Raw genomic sequence first — 21561 nt, 5'->3', positions numbered from 1 at the left:
TGTACAGATGAATGACTTTATTAACGCTGTTATAAATATCAGGGATACAGTGATCAATGAGACAAAGTTCCTAACATTCTAGAGCTCATATTCTATTGAGGGAAACAAACCTTTAGTCTTCCAATTATACATAACATAATTTATCCTACTGATAATGCTGTGAATATAATAAGATAATAAGATTAAAGGAGAAGGAATTGTTTTACATATGATAATCCATCTGAGAAGGTGATTTTTGAAGAGATACTGAAATGAAGTAGGTTCTGTTTATGATCTGGGGAAGAATATTTCAGGCATAGGAAAATAGGACTAACAGGTGCAAAGGTCCTGAGGCAGAAGCAGTAGGGCTTTTCTGAGGAACATCAAGAAAATTGGTGTCGCTAGAATACATTGCAGGATGTGTTGCAGGAAATTGATGAGGTAGGTAGGTTCAAATCACGTAAGGCCTAGTAAGCCCTGGTAAGAGGCAGGACTTCACTCTGAATTGATGGGAAACTACTCAGACATTTTGAGGGAAGGAAGGTGATGGATGTGATTTCTTTTTTAAAAAACTCATTCTGACATTGGGGTGAAATCTGTAGGGAGGGCAAGAGTGGAGGCAAGAGAGGGCAGGAGGTTAAGAGTCCAGCTGAAATGGTGGTAGCTTAGATTAAGGGAAGTTATGGAGGTAGAGGAAAGTGGTCAGATTTTTAATGTGTATTTTAAAAGTGATATTTTCAGCCAGGCACTGTGGCTCACACCTATAATCCCAGCACTTTGGGAGGCTGAAACGGGTGGATCACCTGAGATCAAGAGTTCGAGACCACCCTGGCCAACATGGCGAAATCTGTCTCTACTAAAAATACAAAAATTAGCTAGGTGTGCAGGCGCATGCCTGTAGTCCCAGCTACTCGGGAGGCTGAGGCAGGAGAATCACTTGAATCCGGGAGGCAGAGGTTGCATTGAGCCAAGATTGCACCACTGCACTCCAGCCTGGGCAATAGAGCAAGACTACGTCTCAAATACAAACAAACAAACAAAAGTAATATTTTCAAGACTTGCTGGTGGATTCAGTTTAGATGTGAAAGAAACAAGGATGGTTCCTAGATTTCTGACCTGAGCAATTTTGAGTAAATTGTGGCACCATTACAATCAATTTATACACCATTGATTGGATGAGTTTGCATCAATCAGCAAGATCATGTTGCTCAAGAGTTTAATCATTTTGTAACATAACATGGAGTTTGTTCTATTTTAAAATCCCATTAGGAAGTCCATTGCAGTTTCTTTATTCCAGAGCATAATTAATTAAAATCTGCCTTTTTCCCCCCAGGGATTTGTGATTGAGCTTCTTCTCACATTGGAATCTGCAATTGATACTTTGGCTGAAACCATGAAGCATTATGATCTTCTTTCTGCCCTTTCTCAGTAAGAATTTAAACCAGGCAACCTAATATAGAGAGAACTTGAATAGCTAACTACATATAGCTATAACTTTTAAAATTCTAATATTGTTAGTAAGCACAATACTGCCCAAATTAGATGGATTACCAGTGGGGAGATGGGCCGCAGACAGTGAGGACTTGTGAAAAATCCAAGTGCTGATTTTAGCAGTGCTGTTCTTCTTCTAATGTGCTGGTTAGAGATCTTTCTAATGCACCACTTCATTCCTGCCACATTCAGGATTCAGCATCCTGTTTCTCCCCCAGCTGTCTGGGAGCCTTAAGGCTCTCCCACCTTTCACATATTGTTCCTTCTCCCTGCAGCAGCCTCTCTCCCCACTTTTTCTACCTTGCAAGCCCAGAATTGACTAGTCCTTCAAGTCCCATCCCAAATGTCACTTCCTAGCTAAGCATTTCTAACTCCTTCAGGGTAGTGCTAATTATTCCATCCTTTGGGTTCTCATAGTGATTTTTTCATATTGTAATAATAGCAATTAGCAGGCTATAAATTTATCCATTTACATATCTATCCCCTCTTTCAAAAGACTTGTCTAATATTCCTTCCTTTTCTATACAGCTGGCAAACATAAAAAGCATTCAGTCAATATTTTCTTAATAAAAATTGGATGTGAGGAAGGAGGAGAAATCGAAAATTTTTGAGCTTAGTTCTTTTGAAAAGAGTGTGTCATTGACAGAAATAGGGACATCAGGACCATCAAGTTTGAGGACAAGACAAATGAAGTCAGCTTTGGACATAATGTATGCCTAAATCTCAGAGCTGAACGTTGTTAGCGATTACTATAGCAGAATTTTCTCAGCAAGTAGAGCCTCCTTTCAACTCAAAGGAAACTGTTAGCCACAAGAGAAAAGATACTGTTGTACATTTTCTTTGAATTTGAAGGGAAAACTGAAATTTGATTCAACAAAGTCAGATATACTGAAAAATGATTTTTCTGGTACCAGTTACTATTTTTCAGTGTTTTCAGAAGTAAAATTAATTTAGCAAAAGAAGTGACTGGGTATGCATTCATCTATTCTTTCTTTTTTTTAAGAACCTCATATCATGATCCTATAATGGGAAACAAGTATGCAGCTAACAGGAAAAGCACTGGACAACTCAATCTAAGCACAAGTCCCATTAATAGTAGCAGTTATTTGGGATATAACAGTAATGCAAGAAGTAACTCTTTGAGATTAAGTTTGATTGGTGACCGACGAGGTGACCGGCGGCGGAGTAACACACTGGATATAATGGATGGACGGATAAACCATAGCAGTAGTTTAGCAAGGACTAGAAGCCTTTCCTCTCTAAGAGAGAAAGGAATGTATGACGTGCAGTCCACTACTGAGCCTACCAACTTGATGGCCACCATTTTTTGGATAGCAGCATCTTTATTAGAATCAGATTATGAATATGAATACCTCCTGGCTCTCAGGCTTCTCAACAAACTGCTTATCCATTTGCCTTTGGATAAATCAGAGAGTCGAGAGAAGATTGAAAATGTACAAAGCAAATTGAAATGGACTAATTTTCCAGGACTTCAGCAGCTCTTCCTTAAGGGTTTTACCTCAGCATCTACACAAGAAATGACCGTGCACCTCCTCAGTAAACTCATTTCTGTCTCCAAACATACATTGGTGGATCCTTCCCAATTGTCAGGTGATGTTAATATAATTGCACCAGCACTTTGCATTTTATGCAGTAAAATGTAAACTAATCATTTGTTTTGAAATCTACTAATTTCTGCTTTTTGCAAATAGTCATAGTTTTTATACGCTAGGTAGCTTAAATTATTTGGTAAAAGCCAAAAAAGAATTAGAAGATCGAATATCCCAGGAAATGAAAAGAAAATGGTTTCTGTGAACCATCTAAAAAAATAACTTTAACTTTTAAAATAATGTGCAATAAAATTGGTTATTGTTTGCTTTTTTTTGTTTTGATAGGCTTTCCTCTTAACATCCTTTGCTTATTGCCTCACTTAATCCAGCATTTTGACAGCCCAACTCAGTTTTGCAAAGAAACAGCTAGTCGAATAGCAAAGGTAAGCAAATGTTATGCTGAAAGGTAACACTATAGGGAAATTATTTTGTAGTCTATGTTAAAGGAGGGGGAAATCTCTTAAAACTCCTTTTATTGTCACTTCCCATATGAATTTTGCATTTAAATTTTTATTTTTATGCACATAAAGGACTTGCATAGTAATGGCGTAAGTTACAACTGCTCAAATGACAGTAAATAAAATTATTTAGTTAGAGTAACACTCCTCTGAGTCTGAGTCTTTTTCTGCTCTTTTTCCATACTTCTGCCTCTCTGTCTGTTTCTCATTCATTCGTTTATTTACTACCAAATATTTACTGAGCACTGGGTTAGATGCTACAAATACATGATAAGCAAAGTAGATAGTGTACTTTATCATGGGGAATGCAGTGAAGTAAATAGACAGTAATCAGAGAGTCTGATTTGGTATTTTATCGGGGCAGGGGGAGGGTGGGGGGCAGAATACTCAAGGAGCACACAAAACAGAAGTCTTCCTAGAGGAAGTGATATCTAAGCTGACTTAGATCACTATCGAAGAATGGATAGGAATAAACCAAAGTAAGGTCCCTGGATGAGAGGCAAAGAGTGGAGTTCAGGGTTTGAAGTTTTCTAGGCAGAAGAAATTACAGATGCAGAGGTTCTGAGGAAGAAGAGGGCATAATATATTTTAGGATTTGGAAAATTCTCTGTCCCTTTTTGTTTGCCTTTTTTCCTCTTAACAGTCTTTCTCTTCATCTTCTCTCTCTACTCCATTCTTTTTTTATTCCTTATTTGGCTCTTTTACCTTCAAAAATCATACTGTTTTAGAAACAGTGGTGTAGCTGTTTGTAAATCATCTGTTAACATTTGTTTAAAAGTATTATGGCTCAATGTTAGAAGAATGTGATTTTGACATTTTATATATTTTTATAAATCATCTGTTAACATTTGTTTAAAAGTGTTATAGCTCTTAACCTTCATGTTAAAAGAATGTGATTTTGACATTTTATATTTTTAATAGTCCCCTCTCAAGAACAATAAGGAACTGTCAAACAGCCTGCCTTTTGCTTAAATATAATTCATAACTTTTTTCAGTCAGTCATTGAGTCTGGAGGAAAAAAGGCTTTTCAGACTGAAAATATAAACAGTTCTAAGAGGGAGTTATATAAATTTACAAGTAGCATACATGTAATAGGAAATTTGGTGAACTGGGGGAGGTGAGTGAATAGCAAGATAAGTAAAAGAACTTGGCTAAAGCACCAGGAGAAAAAAAAAAAGGAAGTTTTTTTCTACAGAAGAGAACAAGCAAATAAAATCCCCAGAAAAAGCTTTTTATGTAAGCAATTTTTTTTAAAAGCTGGGATTTGATTAACAAGTAGCACAGCAAGGGGAAAGAGCAAGCATGCAGGAAGCCAAATAAAACCCCCACCTTTCCATGGCCCAGATTGCAGCACTGCTAAGTACACATTTATCTCCAGGTGCCAGCATAGTAAAGAAAGAAAATACTGGCAACCCAATGAATCCCATTAGCATTAATAAGAGTAAGAACCTTTTCACTGTCTTGATAAATAACATTTAATAAATGATGTGAAAATATTTAATAAAATATGCTCTTAACACCATCCCCAATTAAATTTCTAAATAAATTAGATAGGGAAAGATTCTTAATATAATTATTCTAAAAGCATGTATTTTAAAAGAGCCATTATTTTAGCTAATGGAAACATCTTCGTTTCTTTAATAAAAATGGTGGTGGTAGGAAGTAAGCCAAAAATAAGTCTTTTATTCTTGGTTTTTATTAAACTAATCCAATAGAACATTAAATATCAAGAGAGGGTGAAAATTATGACTATTAGAAATATTGCCTTTTGAAAATGATTACTCGCCTAAAACCAACTGCCTGTATTTGCATTAATAAAGTCTAATCGTAATACAAAATTTATTAAAATAACTTTCATTTTAATATTTTAGTGACACATGATTAGAAAATTTGTGTAAACAAAGTTTTTTTCCCTACCTGAGGGGTTGGAAAGCAAATATAAGGGGGAAAGTGTATATTGGTTTACTTGGGGGTTTCAAGAAAATAAAAGGCATAAATCCCCTAAAAAGGGAAGTAGAAGTATTTAAGAGTGGCAGCTGAAATGTGTTGAATGATTACTGCCTGCTAAATGCTGGGATAACTAAGGAGTGTGGCCTCCTAGCCTGAAGGATGTTACAGCTCCTTGAATATCGAGCTGCTGATATCGTGACCACAGTAGGGCCATGGAAATTCCCAAATATCTTTTATGTTTTTAAGAAATCAGATATGGCCTTCTGTGATTCATAAATTGTTTTTAAGTCTGTTTTCTTCCTGTTGGACAGCACACAAAGGTTCCCTCTCCGTATGCTTTTAGCAACCTGCAGGATGTGAATTAAATTGGTTCCTTAATTATTCTCCCACTTATAACTGTAGAGAGTAATTTTCTGCCATTATGTGCTCCTTCATTATGCAAATATCCCTAGTTCTACTGTTTGTGCCTTTGGAGAGCACAGAATTTCAAAATGAGGCAACACTTAGGACAAATATTTTTCTCTTTAGTGATTCGTTATGGCAAAAATAGTATGCTAAAAAAGTTTGTTATAAAACACACTCTTTTTGGATCGTATTTTAACCTGGCATTTCAAAAATTCCAAAATTAAATCTGTCACTTGTTCTATTATAAAATTGCACAGCAGATATTCCAAGGAATTTTCTCCCTTTTCAAAAAATAAGTTTTTTAAAATCATTCCTTAAAAAAATTATTTAAGAATGTAAGAATTCTCTAAGAATGTTTTATTCTTCAGGAAAGTTTTTTATGTTTTAAAGAATTTAACAACTTGAGAAGTTATAAAATTATGCGATTTTTAATAATATGTTAAATTATTATATTTTGAAATGCAAATAAGAGATACCAACCCATTTTTTCTTTTTCTTTCTGGTGTCTGTTTTATGGGCAAAACACTACTGCATGAAATCAGCTGGTTTTAATGATTGTATAAAATAACTTCCCAGGTACTACTGTGTTAATAGTCTATGCACGACCTTGCATAACCTTTATATTTTGTGCTTGTTCCATGATAATGTCCAAATGATGAATTTGAGGCCCTCCAAGCCTATTAAACATCTTCCGAATTACCAAAATTAGTGATATTCATTTGAAAGTTGAAGATGTATATATTTAAAAGGACAGTTTCTTTACCAAATGCTGTAGGTAGTTGTAAAAATACATACAAAACATCCATAAGATAGAAGAATAAGGAAAAGGAAAACTAAAAGCAGAAATGACAATGAGGTTAGCCTTTTATGACAGATTGGTATGTAAGAGTAGCATGGCCTTTTTCCAGTTCTGCATAGCTCAGGTGTCCCCTGGGAGAGGCCAGGGAACATCCTCACCAATAACCCAGGGAACAAACAGACTAAGAAGTGCATTCAGTCAGTAAAATTCCCCCCAAACATTAGTTGGTTCAGATTCTTTAATATTGTATCAAACAAACATGAGAGTCAGTACATTTTGGAGTAGCCTTTAAAAGATTGGCCGAGGATCTTAGAGCTTTAGGTGATTTCCGGAAGAGCAGTTTGAGGTCCACCATGCAGACTGTCATCCATTGGAGATTCTGGACTCCAGATTTCATCAGAGCCCCAGTGATGTCCTTTGACTGTCACACATGTTGAGGCTGTTTGCAACTGACTGCTCTACTGAGATACCCCGGGCACAGCTGGAGGCTGAAGCATTTCCTCCCAGTCACAGCAGCTCGGAGCCTCCCTGAGAATTCCCTAGTTATATCTGCCTGTGTAGTCACTTGTGCACTGATCCATCCTGGGTTTGACAAAGCAATTCCAAAATGATGTCCCGAGTTCACACCATACATGGTTTCTGCCAGAGACAGTTTACAGATCTTCAGACTGAAGAAGGCCGTACTATTTAGTACCCACAAAGACATTAATCCTCTTTCTGTATTAGCTCTTACTATTCTGTGAAGAATGCCTTGTGCTTTTTTTCTCGTTTCACTTTTCTAACGTATTGAAGTAAAATGCATTAAAACCAATATACATCTAAATTATTTCATTAAGCGAATACATTTAGCATAAAATCAAGTTAAACTTGTGTCTTTATTTTAGGTGAATGAAATAATTTTATTTGTTTTCTAGGTTTGTGCAGAAGAAAAATGCCCAACACTTGTCAATCTGGCACACATGATGAGTTTGTACAGTACACACACGTATTCCAGAGACTGTTCTAACTGGATCAATGTCGTGTGCAGATACCTGCATGACTCCTTCTCAGATACAACATTTAATCTTGTGACTTATCTTGCAGAGGTAAATTTACCAAAAATATTTTCTTATTTACTATATATATATGTGTGTGTGTGTGTGTGTGTGTGTGTGTATGTGTATATATATACACATATATATATTTTAACTACTCTGTGGCACCTTATCAAGTTGATTTATATGCAGAAGCAGCACTGGTATTAACTGATATTCAAATTGTCTGACAGTCAACATAGTTAACAATTTTTTAAGATAAAAATATAAGTTACTTCCTATCAAGTGTAAAAGAAGTTTTTATAAAGGTGGGTTTTTTTTCCATGTCCAGTGTTTATATCCTTATTTACTGTCCTTAAGTGACATGAAACTCAAAATAATATACACTTTACCTAATTAAAAATGGAAAATGGGTTTTTAGTGGTCCTGATCCTAGAGAATGGTTATAATTTTTATTTCTACAAAATTAGGTTTTAGCTTAGAAATCTTTTCTAGAATAATAATTACAGCATACAAAAGTATTTCTTCTGGAAAAGTTTTTAGTTTGATGATACATTTGCTTCCTATCTAAAATATGATTTTGAGACAGCAAAAAATGGATGATAAAGTAGCCCTAGAACAGCACAAAAAGTTAATATCTATTTGATGCCTAAGAAGTAACTTTATACCCAGAAAAGTAAATTACTAAGTAGATAGGCACAAAGAGAAAGTCAAAAGCAAGAGATTCCTAGTCACTAAAAATGTTTGTCAGTTTATAATAAAGTAATACCTACTAAATTAGTTAAGGAAATAAAACACCATGATTTAGATGAAAAGTTATCGTCTAATTCTCCTTTCTGAACCAAGGAAAAATAACAGTAATAGACTCTGCCTTTCACTTTATTAGTCTCTAGATTTCTAATCCACATAACTATAAACTCATAGGCTAAATCTATGTTTTCCAACCTGTCAAATGTAAATATTGAGTTTTTATTCAACCTGATTAAAGTATACTTTAATATTACTTTTAACATTATTTTTAGCTGTTAGAGAAAGGATTGTCCAGTATGCAGCAATCATTACTACAGATTATTTATAGTCTATTGAGTCATATTGACCTGTCTGCAGCCCCAGCCAAGCAGTTTAATCTGGAGATCATAAAGATTATTGGCAAATATGTACAGGTGAGTGACCACAAAACTTACATATAACATTTTTCATCTAAAAATGATTTATAATCACACAATATTGGAAATGCCTTAAATGTCGAAGAATGGGGAAGTGGTTCAACCATAAATCGTGTTTTCAGGATATTTGCAGTATGGAAAATGTTCTCAATGTAAGTGACAAAAACCAGAATCAGAATTAGTATGATTTCTACTTTTCGTATTAACAATTTCTGTAATGTTCTGTAATGACAGGAAGGAATGCATATACACATTGCAGCAGTCAAAACTCTGGAAATTAGGACTGTGACTCATTGGTTGTTTTTGTTTTTGTTTTGAGAAGGAGTCTTGCTCTGTTGCCCAGGCTGGAGTGCAGTGGCGCAGTCTCGGCTCACTGCAGCCTCTGCCTCCTGGATTCAAGTGAGTCTCCTGCCTCAGCCTCCTAAGTAGCTGGGATTACAGGCATGTACCACCACACCCAGCTAATTTTTGTATTTTTAGTAGAGATAGGTTTCACCATGTTGGCCAGGCTGGTCTCGAACTCCTGACCTCAGGTAATCTGCCCACCTCAGCCTCCCAAAGTGCTGGGATTACAGGCGTGAGCCACCGTGCCTGGCCTCATTGTTCTTTCTTTCTTCGTACCTTTCTGTTTTTTAACGAGATTCTACTTAGTGGGCATACACTACTTTTAGAAACAGAAAACCTCTTTGAAGAGTTTGCATTTTAGAGATTTTTTTGTGTGTCTGATAAAAAGTGCCAGATATTTAGAAAGTGGAAAATTAAACTTGATTTAAATGTAAATGATGACAAGTCGGCCTGGTCTTTGCTGAATTTCACCTTTGAAATTCAGTTAAGCTGTCGGTTTGAGCTACCAGTTAAGAAAGCTTTGCATTGCTGAGCAGATCAGTAGGATGGATACAACTCACCAAAGAGAACAAGCTCATTAACAACCTTAATAGATTAATATGTTGTGTTTATACTCCAGTTACGTTTGCATTCACTAGAGCAGAACTTAGAATGGGAAATACTTAGCTGGCAAGGAATTTATTCTAGTTCATATCTGAAAGTAATAAAACTGTAGTAAAATGTTTTCAGTGATTCAGTTATGTAATCCACATTACCTCTTACATTCCCTTGAAAATCAGTGATTGCAGATATCAAAAAAACGGGAGATTTTCTGGTGGCCCTATTTATCTTGTGTCTTATCCTTCAGTGAGTGAGGCTTTACCAGATAGCAGTTATATCTCTTTCTAAAGCACATTTCTCTTTTCTTCTTAAGCCTTAAAAAAAAAAAACTTATAAAATATTTGCTATATTTCACATAGAAACATATACCACATTGAATTCACTACCTTCTGAACCATAGGTACATTTCTTATGTTCAGAACCACAAGCTCAACTTGCCAGTGGACAAGCAGATAACCAGAAGGAGCATAGATTTGTGGCTAAGTGAACTGCACACTCCCCATCTCAAAGGAGAAACACAACTTAGCTTCCTCTGGTGGTTTTCATGTTAGAATATGGGTCCAGTGTGGCAGACTTCTCACTTTAAGAGAAGCTGGAAATCTACATTTTTCTGTAAAATCTCCTGATTTTAAAATGTTGACTCAATTTTTTTTCCAGATTTCTTTATAAATGTGTGAATCAAGATCATATTTAGCTGATGGCTCATCACAGCTGCTGGCTTGTGCTTTATTAAACAACTAAATATTTCACAGAATTGAATTATCGATAGTCTTTTACATTTAAACACAACCAGCAATATAATTTATGAAAACATCCCTAAAGTTTAGCATTTCATGATGCCCAGAGATTGTAATTATTTCTGTCAGAAAAAATATGATGATTATTTCTACTTAGTCATGATTTTGTTAAATATAAACTTTTTTTTGTTTTGTTTTGTTTTTTTTGAGATGGAGTCTCTGTTGCCCAGGCTGAAGTGCAGAGGTGCGATCTTGGCTCACTGCAACCTCCGCCTCCTGGGTTCAAGGATTGTCCTGCCTCAGCCTCCCAAGTAGCTAGAATTAGAGGCACATACCACCATGCCTAGCTGATTTTTGTATTTTTAGTAGAGATGGGGTTTCACCACATTGGCCAGGCCGGTGTCAAACTCCTGACCTCAAGTGGTCTGCCTGCATTGGCCCCCCAAAGTACTGGGATTACAGGCGTGAGCCATTGCTCCCGGCCTTTAAACTACTTTTTACAGTGCTGTTCTTAAAATGTCACAGTATCATGTAGACCTTTTTATTATCAAGTATTTTGTGTTTTAGGTGTCTTCATAGCAAGATGTTATGAACTCAATTGGATAACCCAATTCTGCCAAAGATTTTTTACTTCCTTTTTTGGTGTCTTAATGGTTATTTTTCCTTCCTCAGATATCAGCTGTGAAAGAATATGTATAATATAATACAAGGTTGAGATGTGATTTTTGGTACCATAAGTAAGAAGTAGTTTTTTCTATGTATCCTTTTCAGTGGGTGGTAAAAGAAAGATATTATAAAGTCTTTATCAAACATTCACTGTTCTCTACATATACATCTAGCTCATAAATAATTCCTAGATTTCATTGGTAGGAATATACAAAACTAAGACAAGCAGAAAAATTTTTTTAAAATAGCCAAAATATGTAGGGAAGAAAAAAAAACCTCACCCTACACAACTCAGTAATCCCTGAGAACATCACATTAGCATGGTATCTACTCTCAGTATTTGGGGCCTGGGCCATCAAGAAAAAAAGACTTAACTGTATTTTAGTATTTTAATATTTTTATGTCTAAAAAGGAAGGTATTCGTTAAAAAATTTTTATCTGCAAAGACTTAAAATACTTAAATTTTAGAGTCTCAAAGCTATAAACTTCATTCAGCTAAAAGCTGACGTATATACAAATGTTTTGTTTACCACTACTGCCAAGTTACTGTATTAGTCTGTCCAAATTAATGATAATTACAAAGCACTTATTGGGAGAAAAGCAAGATATTTCAGTTGGGTAGCATTATTACACATATGGTATCTGATAAATCTAACAGTACAAATAATAACTTGTGTTTTCTTTCCTTTTGTAACTCAAACCTTTCATTAAGGATCTTCAAAATGAATAATTTTTACAAGTATTTTTGTAGAAATAATATTTTTATGGTGTACAGTAAATTGTTGTTCTTAGTTGAATGTGCATTTGTAACTTTTACGTGTCAATTATTTTTTAAACCAGAGTCCTTACTGGAAGGAAGCCCTTAACATATTAAAGCTGGTGGTGTCACGCTCTGCGAGTCTTGTCGTACCCAGTGATATCCCCAAGACCTATGGAGGAGATACAGGTTCTCCTGAAATATCCTTCACTAAAATTTTTAATAATGTTTCTAAGGAGTTGCCTGGGAAGACCTTAGATTTTCATTTTGATATATCTGAGGTAAGATGCTCAGAAATTGATGAAGTTACTCTACTAGGAATTTTCATTTGTTTATTTATTCATTCTTTGATTTAACAAACATTGATTGAGCTCATACCCAGTGTTAGACAATATGATAGCTGTTATGAACAACCAAGTGGGGATGGGGAGAAGGCCTGCTGTTAGAAAGCTTACTGTCTGTTAGAGAAACAGACTATACATTCCCCATCTAAAAGAAACGCCACAACTTAGCTTCCCAACAGTGTTTAGCTTAACAACTAAACATAGTAATCAACACTCGGCTGGAATACATTAAAAGTGCTAGGGGAGTATGTAGCATCTATCTAAAGGAGTGGTTTCAGAAAGGAACCAACATCTGAGCTGAGTGTTGAAAGACAAGTAATTCTAGACAGGCATCTATGGCAGTTTGGGGAGGGGAGGTTAAATGCAAAGAAATGGAGAATGTGTGAATGAAGGCTTGTAAGCGTGAGAAAGCATGGTGTTCCAGACACTTCCAACTAGTACCGCCTACCTTGGGCACAGAGTTCAAAAAAATGCAAGTAGAGTGTGATGAGACATGAGGCTGAAGGCATAGGAAGGGGCAAGATCATGGGGATCTTGCATTTCATAGTAACAAACTGGTTTTATCTAAACCAGTAGGAGCTCTTAAAGGATTTTTAGTTGGCGTATTAGGGTTTGCATTTTAGGAGGATCACTCTAGCCACAGGATAGAAAATAGAGCAGGGAGGAGGAGAGGACAGTTGGTAAGGAATCTGTTAGAAGAATTTGGGCAAAAGATAATGTGGGACTGTCCCAAGACAATTGCAGAGGTAATGAAGAAGGAAGAGAGATGGTTTACAAAAAGACCAAGGAAGTAACTGATGGGATTTAATGGGAAAGTGGGGAAGAGGCATCAAGGATTTGATGAATGGCCTTGACAGGTAGATCAATGTTGCACCACTCAAGAGAGTGGGAATGCAGGAACAGATCTTACAGCAGGGAAGGAGAGGGGGCAATGAGTTCCGTCTTGGACATGTTGACTCAGAAGTGACCCAGAAACATACTAAAGGAGGTGCCTGGTGGTCAGTTAAATTTTGGGATCTGAAGTTTTAGAGGAAAACTTGGGTGGAAGTAACAAATTAAGGGTTTCAGTGTTGTATAAGTGAATGGCTGAAACCATGGAAGGAAAACTGAAAAGAACAGAAGGCAACAACTAAAGGAAACCTGAGAAACTGGATATTTTAGGACTAGACAGAAGCAGGGGCCATCAGTCCAGAAGGAACCCTGGAGCCTGGCTATGCTGTATATTAATAAAAATCTCACTTAAAGATTTCTCATCCTTGCTGAGAGTCCCGATTTTTTTTCCCTCTGGCACCTGAGCCCACTCTTGGTGCCTTGGTGCCATTGAAGTGGTCTTTCGGAAGCCAAGGGAGGAACTTTTCAAGAAGGAAGTTATTGATCAAGTATTGTAAGGTTGAGAAAGATTAAAAATTGAAGCTCTACTTACTTTTTTGTTGATTAGAATTATATAGATAAAAAATGTTTTATTGCAGTTTAGTCTTGGCATTAGAATTTATCCTAAACTTTATTTTTTTATGTAGAAAGCATATTTGTTACTAATTTTTTAGTTAATAATATCTGAGAATTTCTAGCAAGATGTATGTATAATAGCATGGGAGTATGATGGAGAAGCTTGGCTTTCCTTTTCCTTCTGATTCAGAAATCGATCGTTATTTGAAGCAGTGATGCAAATTCTCAAAACATTTTATATACTTAATTTCAATTTGTTGCATCAAAAATTCCTCAGTACCTGCCATGCATAGGCACTGGAGATACACCAAAGGTATAGAGGCAATCACACATGGTCCAGTGGATACATGTGTAGTAGGGAAGTCAGGCACATAAACAGTTTACAGTCAGCATGGTAAGTGTCCAAGTTTGATTACACAGAGGTGGTGGTGGTAGAACAGAAGGCCTCCTTAAAAGTCTGGAGTCATCATTAAAAGATGATTAGAAGTTTACTTAGTGGATATTCCATGCAAAGGGGCAACATAGGCTAAAACACGGGTCTATAAAAGAGCATGGTGTGTTTGGAAAACAAGAGCAAGCTCAGTTTTGCTGGTGTGTGAAGTTCAGAGAGGGGGAAGTGGTCGTAGTTGAGGCTAGGGAGAGAAGGATGATCAGTTGAGCATAAAGGGACTCGTATGACATGCAGATGAGCTTGAATTTTATTTTCAAATGCAAATTTAAAACACTTTACAAAGTCAAATATAAATGAGTTTTTGATTATCATAGAATTTTTACTGAAATAAATTTTGGAAGTATTACACATCAGATTTGTAATAAGAATCTACATAGAAGTGTTCCTCTTTTGTTACTTCAGTATTTGCTAAACCACATTGCTGAAGCATACTTGACAATATGCTTTGAAAAAGCGCCAAAATTTAACAAATATTAAGTCTGAGTGGTAAGAAAACAGATGATTTGATATTTAAAATATAAATCTTTTTTACATTTTCTGAGTTTTGGGTATATTTTATAATCATGGTGGGGAAAGGTGGAGATGGTGGTTTTTAAAGAATGCAGATTACATTTAAAGTAGGAATAGGCTTTCTGATAATCTCAGATGTAAAATTATTATTTCCAATAAAGTCTCTTGATTAAAAATATATATATATCATTACCTTTGATCTTTGTTAACATCTGCCTCATGCAAAGTAATTTCTCTCCTCATCTTTTTTTTTATTTGTAAAAAATATTATAGGTGCACTGTTAACCCTTTTAAGTTTCTTTTATGTTGAAATATTTGAGCCAAACACTGACATTTTGTTTCTGTGTAGACACCAATTATTGGAAACAAATATGGTGATCAGCACAGTGCGGCTGGAAGAAATGGGAAACCAAAAGTTATTGCTGTCACTAGAAGTACTTCCTCAACTTCTTCTGGTTCTAATTCTAATGCCTTGGTTCCTGTTAGTTGGAAAAGGCCACAGTTATCACAGGTACATAAAGAATATCAAAATGGAACATTCATAGAACAGAAGAATCAGTTTTGTTATAGGTATGAAAACTTGAGAATTTGTCTTATTTTATCAGCAGTCCTAACATTTTAATTTTTTTTTTTCCTTTAGCGAAGAACAAGAGAAAAGCTAATGAATGTGCTTTCTCTCTGTGGTCCAGAATCTGGCCTCCCAAAGAACCCATCAGTGAGTAATCATGAAGACCTGTGTCAAGGTCTTAAAGATCATGTTATTCCTTGAAGAAATGATCTGTCTCCTTGCTTGCCTTTTCTAATTTACCTTACTTACGGTATTAACTCAGAATGAAAAAAAGATTTCTTATCTCTTGTGACACCTGGCAGCCATGCTAACTATGTGTTCAACTAGTTAAACATGAAGACCAAATTTAAGCTGTGAATTCATTGAAGAATGAGGCCTGCGGTGGCTTTGGGGTACTGATACCTCATACGCAGAGTGACAAATCTGATGGATGGACTTTTTTTTTTTTTTTAATCGGGCATCAGGTTGTATTTTCTTCTAATGAGGATTTGGAAGTCGGTGACCAACAGACTAGCCTAATTTCTACAACAGAAGACATAAATCAAGAGGAAGAAGTAGCTGTGGAAGATAATAGCAGTGAACAACAGTTTGGTGTTTTTAAGGATTTTGACTTTTTAGATGTTGAATTGGAAGATGCAGAGGTAAGGATGTGGGCTTTCTCTGTTAATATTTATAGAACAGTTGTATGAGAATTAAGGATTTGATCACAGGATCATTCCTTATTGAGGTCAGTGTAAGGTCAAAAAGGTAAAAATCTAAATTAGGAATTAAATTTGATTACCACAATTAGTCAATAGAATAAGTCTGAGATAAAAGAGAAACATTCCATTTTTCATCTTTATCTTTAAAAATATAAAATTAAAAAATGGCTTCCTTCAAAATTATTTTCAGGGTATGCTTAGACTTAAATGTTTTGCATGATTTGTCTTACAAACTAATATGCAGCCAAATGGTAAAAATTTATATGAGAATTGATTAAGGACAACTTTAAAGAGAGTTGCACTTACCACTAAATTGCACATTCATCAACTCTCATGTACATATACATATACTACTCATATACAGCTCATACACATTCATCAATTCTCATGTACATATACATATACTACTCATATACACACTTACCACTAAATTGACATATCACAAAGGGTTTGTCTTTCTAGAACTCTTCCCTTTGGCAAATGACTGAGCTTCTTTCTTTGACATTCGAAATCACTTTCTTCTTTATGATGTAGGTAACTCTCTCAAATGCCTGGTTTCATTTAATACTCAAAGCGTTTCTCTTCTAAATTGATTTAGTCTGGATTACATTATATTGGTAGTTATGTCAGTTGAGATGCTTTCTAAATGGAATTTAAAACTCAGAAAGTAGATTTATTAGCCCACAAAACTAGTCCAGAATTAGAGCTTATATTTAGATATGGCTCAATGAAGTTTCTGGCTGTTTATCTGCAGTTCTCTAGGCTCTCCCCTTCTCTGCCAGTCAGCTTGACCTCAGATAGCAGCAAAACCGTCTTCATTGCTGGGTAATCTTAGCCCCACACACAGCAGTGTTTGAAGGAGGTGAGGGTCACATCCAGAAATGCTCTCAGAAAAGTAAGGAAGCTGCTTTCCTAAATGGTCTTAGCAAACTTCTTGTAACATCTCATTGGCCCAAATTAGGACACATGCTACTTTCTGAAACAACCACTCTAGTGAATAGAATAGGATTACCCTGGTTGTCTTAGGCTATTAGAGATCCATTTCTGTAGCTGAGCTCAGTTCCCTAAACCACAGTCTCTTAACCCTGAAAGTTTATATCAAATAGATTTGTTTTAAACATGTACATTTTGAAATTGCTACAAATATCTGTATGCAAGAAGACCAAAATGCCTTAATACCAAGTATCTGTATACCATATCTTGATGTATCTTTTTCTAAAGAATCAAAACTCATAGCTCAAATACATTTAGCTCTCATATACATATACATATACTATTCATATACAGCTCATACACATTCATCAGCTCATATACATACACATATACAACTCATATACAGCTCATACACATTCATCAACTCTCATGTACATATACATGTACTACTAATATACAGCTCATACACATTCATCAGCTCTCATATACATACACATATACAACTCATATACAGCTCATACACATTCATCAACTCTCATGTACATATACATATACTACTCATATACAGCTCATACACATTCATCAACTCATGTACATATATACATATACTACTCATATACAGCTCATACACATTCATCAACTCTCATGTACATATACTACTCATATACAGCTCATACACATTCATCAGCTCTCGTATACATATACAACTCATACAGATCATACACATCCATCAACTCTCATGTACATATACATATACAACTCATATACAGCTCATACACATTCATCAGCTCTCGTATACATATACATATACAACTCATACAGATCATACACACTGATCAACTCTCATGTACATATACATATACAACTCATATACAGCTTATACACATTCATCAGCTCTTCTTGTAGGGGTGTTTCCTTTGGCTCTAATAGGTGAGGCGGAGGAATGAAATGTAATGCACTCTCCCGTATCACACTGTTCATTGTCCATGGAAGACCAGTTTGAGGAAGTAAAGTTCCCTCTCCTCAACATGCCTCAGTGCCCCCTGCAGATGTGAGGATGTGACCATGGTGCCTCCAAGTAATGCAAATGCCTTCATGTCAGTTTAGGAGCTGTGTAGGCTCCTATGGAATACTCCACCATTTACATTTTCCCAAAGACACAATTGTACAGGTTCATAGGAACTCAAGAACAGGTATTATTTAGCACCTTTCAGAGCAGTAGCTTTTAAACTTTTTTTTGACACTAATCCACAGTTAATACATTTTACATCACATCCAAGTGTGTGTATATATATATATATATATATATATATATATATACCTTTAAAAATAAAAGTTGCAAGAATATGCATCCAAACTCTATGCTGTGCATACTGATATTTTCTATTCTCTTCCTTTTCATTCTTTTTTTTTTTTTTTCAAAAAGTGTAGGTTACCACCCTAAAATTAGTTTCACACTCATCATTTGAAAAAATATATTGTAGGAAATAGAACAGACTTGCACAACCAAGTAACGGAGTGGAATAGGTTAAAGAGACCTGCTGCCCTACCCAAGGCCAGGAGCAGCTTCTAAACTCTTCTGTAGTTAGTTGCTTTTTTCAGTCCAGAATTTAAATTTCTAAAGGCAGCTCTTGACATTTTTGTAATGGTAAGGTTATTTTTCTTTTTGTTTGCCTCTTGTTTAAAGAGAACTGTAAATGCTTTCAAGTTCATTCAGTGCTCTAAAATGTCAGTGGTAATAAACATGGCTTTTAATAGAACCTTAGAATGGACTAAGGATGTTCATTTGTAGTTCTGTCTTTAATTCAAGTCACAGTAATCAGGGGTGGGGTGGAGCACGCTAATTTATCCCTCATAATTACGCCAAATCAGCGATACACATTTTCTAAAACCTGGATATAGTCTTGTTTAAAACATGGTAATAGGAAATACTTTGATTGCTACAAAACAAACTTAACCACTAATGAAAATTATAATAAAATATCTCCTCACTTTGAAAGCCCACAGTGCATATTCATTCACTCACCAAATATATATTGAGTGCTGTTGCCATTATGTGTTTTGGTACATAATAATATTTGAAATGATATGTTCCAGGAAGGTGGTTTTCAAACTCTGACATGCAGGGCCCTAGGGCTTCCAAGATATCTTCAGAAACAGCCGGGACAGATTCAAAGATCCAATGGGCCAAGTTCCTGGACACCTTCAACCAGAGCAGCTCTGGTTTTCTGTTTTGCACAATTGACTGCCATCTAAAATTTCATTTGAAATAAGTATTCTTCTGCTTTCAAAAAAAAAAAAAAGATTTGAAAACTTCTAATCTGGACAATTCCTGTGTAAAGGGATACAGAAAAAAAAAATCATATTTTGGTAGCCAGCTCAATATAGTTTGTCATATCAGGGCCTAAGAAAAATTGTAGGGATTATATCCTTACAAAAGGAGGAGCAGCTTAGAATAACAGAAACATAACTTATATAAATCCTTAAGTGGGAGAAATTGAAATTTGTCATATTTCCTCTTGACCTTTTAAAATTGGCAACAGTTATGTTTTGATGGCTGTGATCTTGATTTTAAATTATATTTTGTAGCAAAAAATGACCATTGAATTTAGCCAGAGCTATCCTACCAACTGAAATAATTGTGACCTTGTATGTTGTCAAGTGCATGTGGGTATTTAAAGTCAGTTTTTGCATTGTACTAAGTATTAAACCTTTGTAAATCTTGAAGATTTTCTTAAAGTTTGTGTTGCCAAAGTGTATCATAGAAATGTTGTTTTAAGTGTCTGTCTCTGACTTTTTCACAACATATTTTGCATAAAAAAAGATTTGAATCACATGTTGACTTTCTGCACAAAGCTTAATCCAGAGCTTGAATCAGTCTTTGGGTTTGAGAAATCACAAAGAGTTTGCCCCAAAAGTGTAGTGTATATTTAAATGTTTGTCTTCGTTTTTTTCTAATTCTGTGTGTTTTCCTTTTTGCTAACCAGGAGCTGCAGGTAAGTTGCAGCCTGGTGTTATGGATTGTTTATTTGTTGTCATCTGTGATGTATTTGTCTTCTTTGTGGTCTCATTCATGTTTGTGTATTAGAATAGAAATGGCTTAGATAGTAGATTTACTTGGTCCCCAGTAATACAAGATAGAAAGTCAAGAAAATTATTTCGTTAAAACAGGTTGTCAACCAAATAATTTTGATCTTTTTAAATATAAATATTTGATGGTGTGTTAACAGTTTAAAGAAATTGAAGGGCTGATTGAAACTCTGCTTTTAATGATGCATTAAGTATTTTTCATCTTGGTATATGTTTTTCTGGTATATTACATTTAGTACATTTAGAAGCATGTATTTGAGGTTTTAGAAATCGTGTCTTGCTTTTCCAGGGTGAAAGTATGGACAATTTCAACTGGGGAGTTCGCAGGCGCTCACTGGACAGTATTGACAAAGGGGACACTCCATCCCTCCAGGAGTACCAGTGCTCTAGTAGCACCCCCAGCCTGAACCTCACCAATCAGGAGGATACAGATGAGTCCTCGGAAGAAGAAGCGGCACTTACAGCAAGCCAGATACTCTCACGCACACAGATGGTATACAATTCACTTTTCTTACAGTGACATTTGGTCTCATTTTCCTCTTAACTTCCAACTTCTTAATGATTATTTCTTGTGCATGGGTGAAATGCACACACTGAAATGAATCTACAAGATTGCAACACTAATGGAGTACCGTGTTGTTATTCATGACAGCACTAAACTTATTAGGTTGATACTGCACACCTATTAGCTGCTAAAATATAATTTCTCTTGCTTCTTTCCTAGTCACAGTGAGTTGTTTTGGGCCCTATTAGAGGCCTTCAGTGATAACATATTTTTGGTATCAATGTGAGCACCAACACCATTTAATTCACCACTCACTTTTCTTTCCTAGTTAGCATAGTGTGGAAAAACAGAGCACAAGTTTGGTCCCTTTCGAGATCAAGTAGAGTCAGTGGAAAATGAAAGCTGCAAGAGTAGCCTGTTATTTCAGAAGAGTACGGGTGCAAGAAAAGCCAGTGGTAGGGCTGGAACTTGAAGATGGCACTGTAAAGAAGGAGAAGGCACATGGAATAGCTACCCTGGTACATGTGATAAGGAAGAAACCAGTGGAGACCAGGCACCAGCTATGGTTACACAGCTCTTACAGGAATGCCTCCTTTTTTTATTCTTTAGGCACAGGGTCTCACACCATCACCCAGGCTGGAGTGCAGTGGCACAACCATAGCTCACTGTATTCTTAAACTCCAGGTCTCAAGTGATCCTCTTGCCTCAGCTTCTCAAGCAGCTAGGACTACAGGTGCATGCCACATATGCACAGCTAATTTTTTTAAATTTTTTGTAGAGATGGGGTCTTGCTATGTGGCCCAGGTTAGTCTTGAACTCCTGGCCTCAAGTGATCCTCCCACCTCGGCCTCCCAAAGTGGCAGGATCACAGGCATGAGCCACCGCACCCAGCCACCTACCTTTAATTTAGATCCATTTGCTCCACTCGGCCTGCTGGTAAAGTGCTGGCAGTGATGTTGAATGGAAGGGCCTGAGCTGCTTTAGGCACAATGTCAAGTTGTCGGTTTGTGGTTGGT

General features: G+C 36.0%; 1 protein-coding gene across 20 annotated transcripts in view; it reads left to right on the top strand.

Annotated features, from left to right (window-relative positions):
* The window catches only part of FRYL (FRY like transcription coactivator), a 282923-nt gene that overhangs the window by 236846 nt on the left and 24516 nt on the right, over positions 1–21561 (top strand). For all 20 annotated transcript variants that reach the window (XR_007096393.1, XM_024453991.2, XM_024453993.2 and 17 more), the window contains 10 exons: positions 1313–1407; positions 2474–3081; positions 3366–3463; positions 7607–7777; positions 8749–8889; positions 12081–12278; positions 15098–15259; positions 15389–15463; positions 15781–15957; positions 20330–20533. Coding sequence is in view for 19 of the 20 variants with exons in the window: in XM_024453991.2 (XP_024309759.1) it covers positions 1313–1407; positions 2474–3081; positions 3366–3463; positions 7607–7777; positions 8749–8889; positions 12081–12278; positions 15098–15259; positions 15389–15463; positions 15781–15957; positions 20330–20533 (1929 nt within the window). In the remaining variant the exon portion in view is untranslated. The remainder of the gene's footprint in view (positions 1–1312; positions 1408–2473; positions 3082–3365; positions 3464–7606; positions 7778–8748; positions 8890–12080; positions 12279–15097; positions 15260–15388; positions 15464–15780; positions 15958–20329; positions 20534–21561) is intronic.

The sequence above is a fragment of the Homo sapiens genome, chromosome 4, assembly GCF_000001405.40.
Source record: "Homo sapiens chromosome 4, GRCh38.p14 Primary Assembly".
Taxonomy (NCBI): Eukaryota; Metazoa; Chordata; class Mammalia; order Primates; family Hominidae; genus Homo; species Homo sapiens.
Note: the sequence above shows the minus strand (reverse complement) of the source record. Positions and strands in the feature narration are given on the sequence as shown.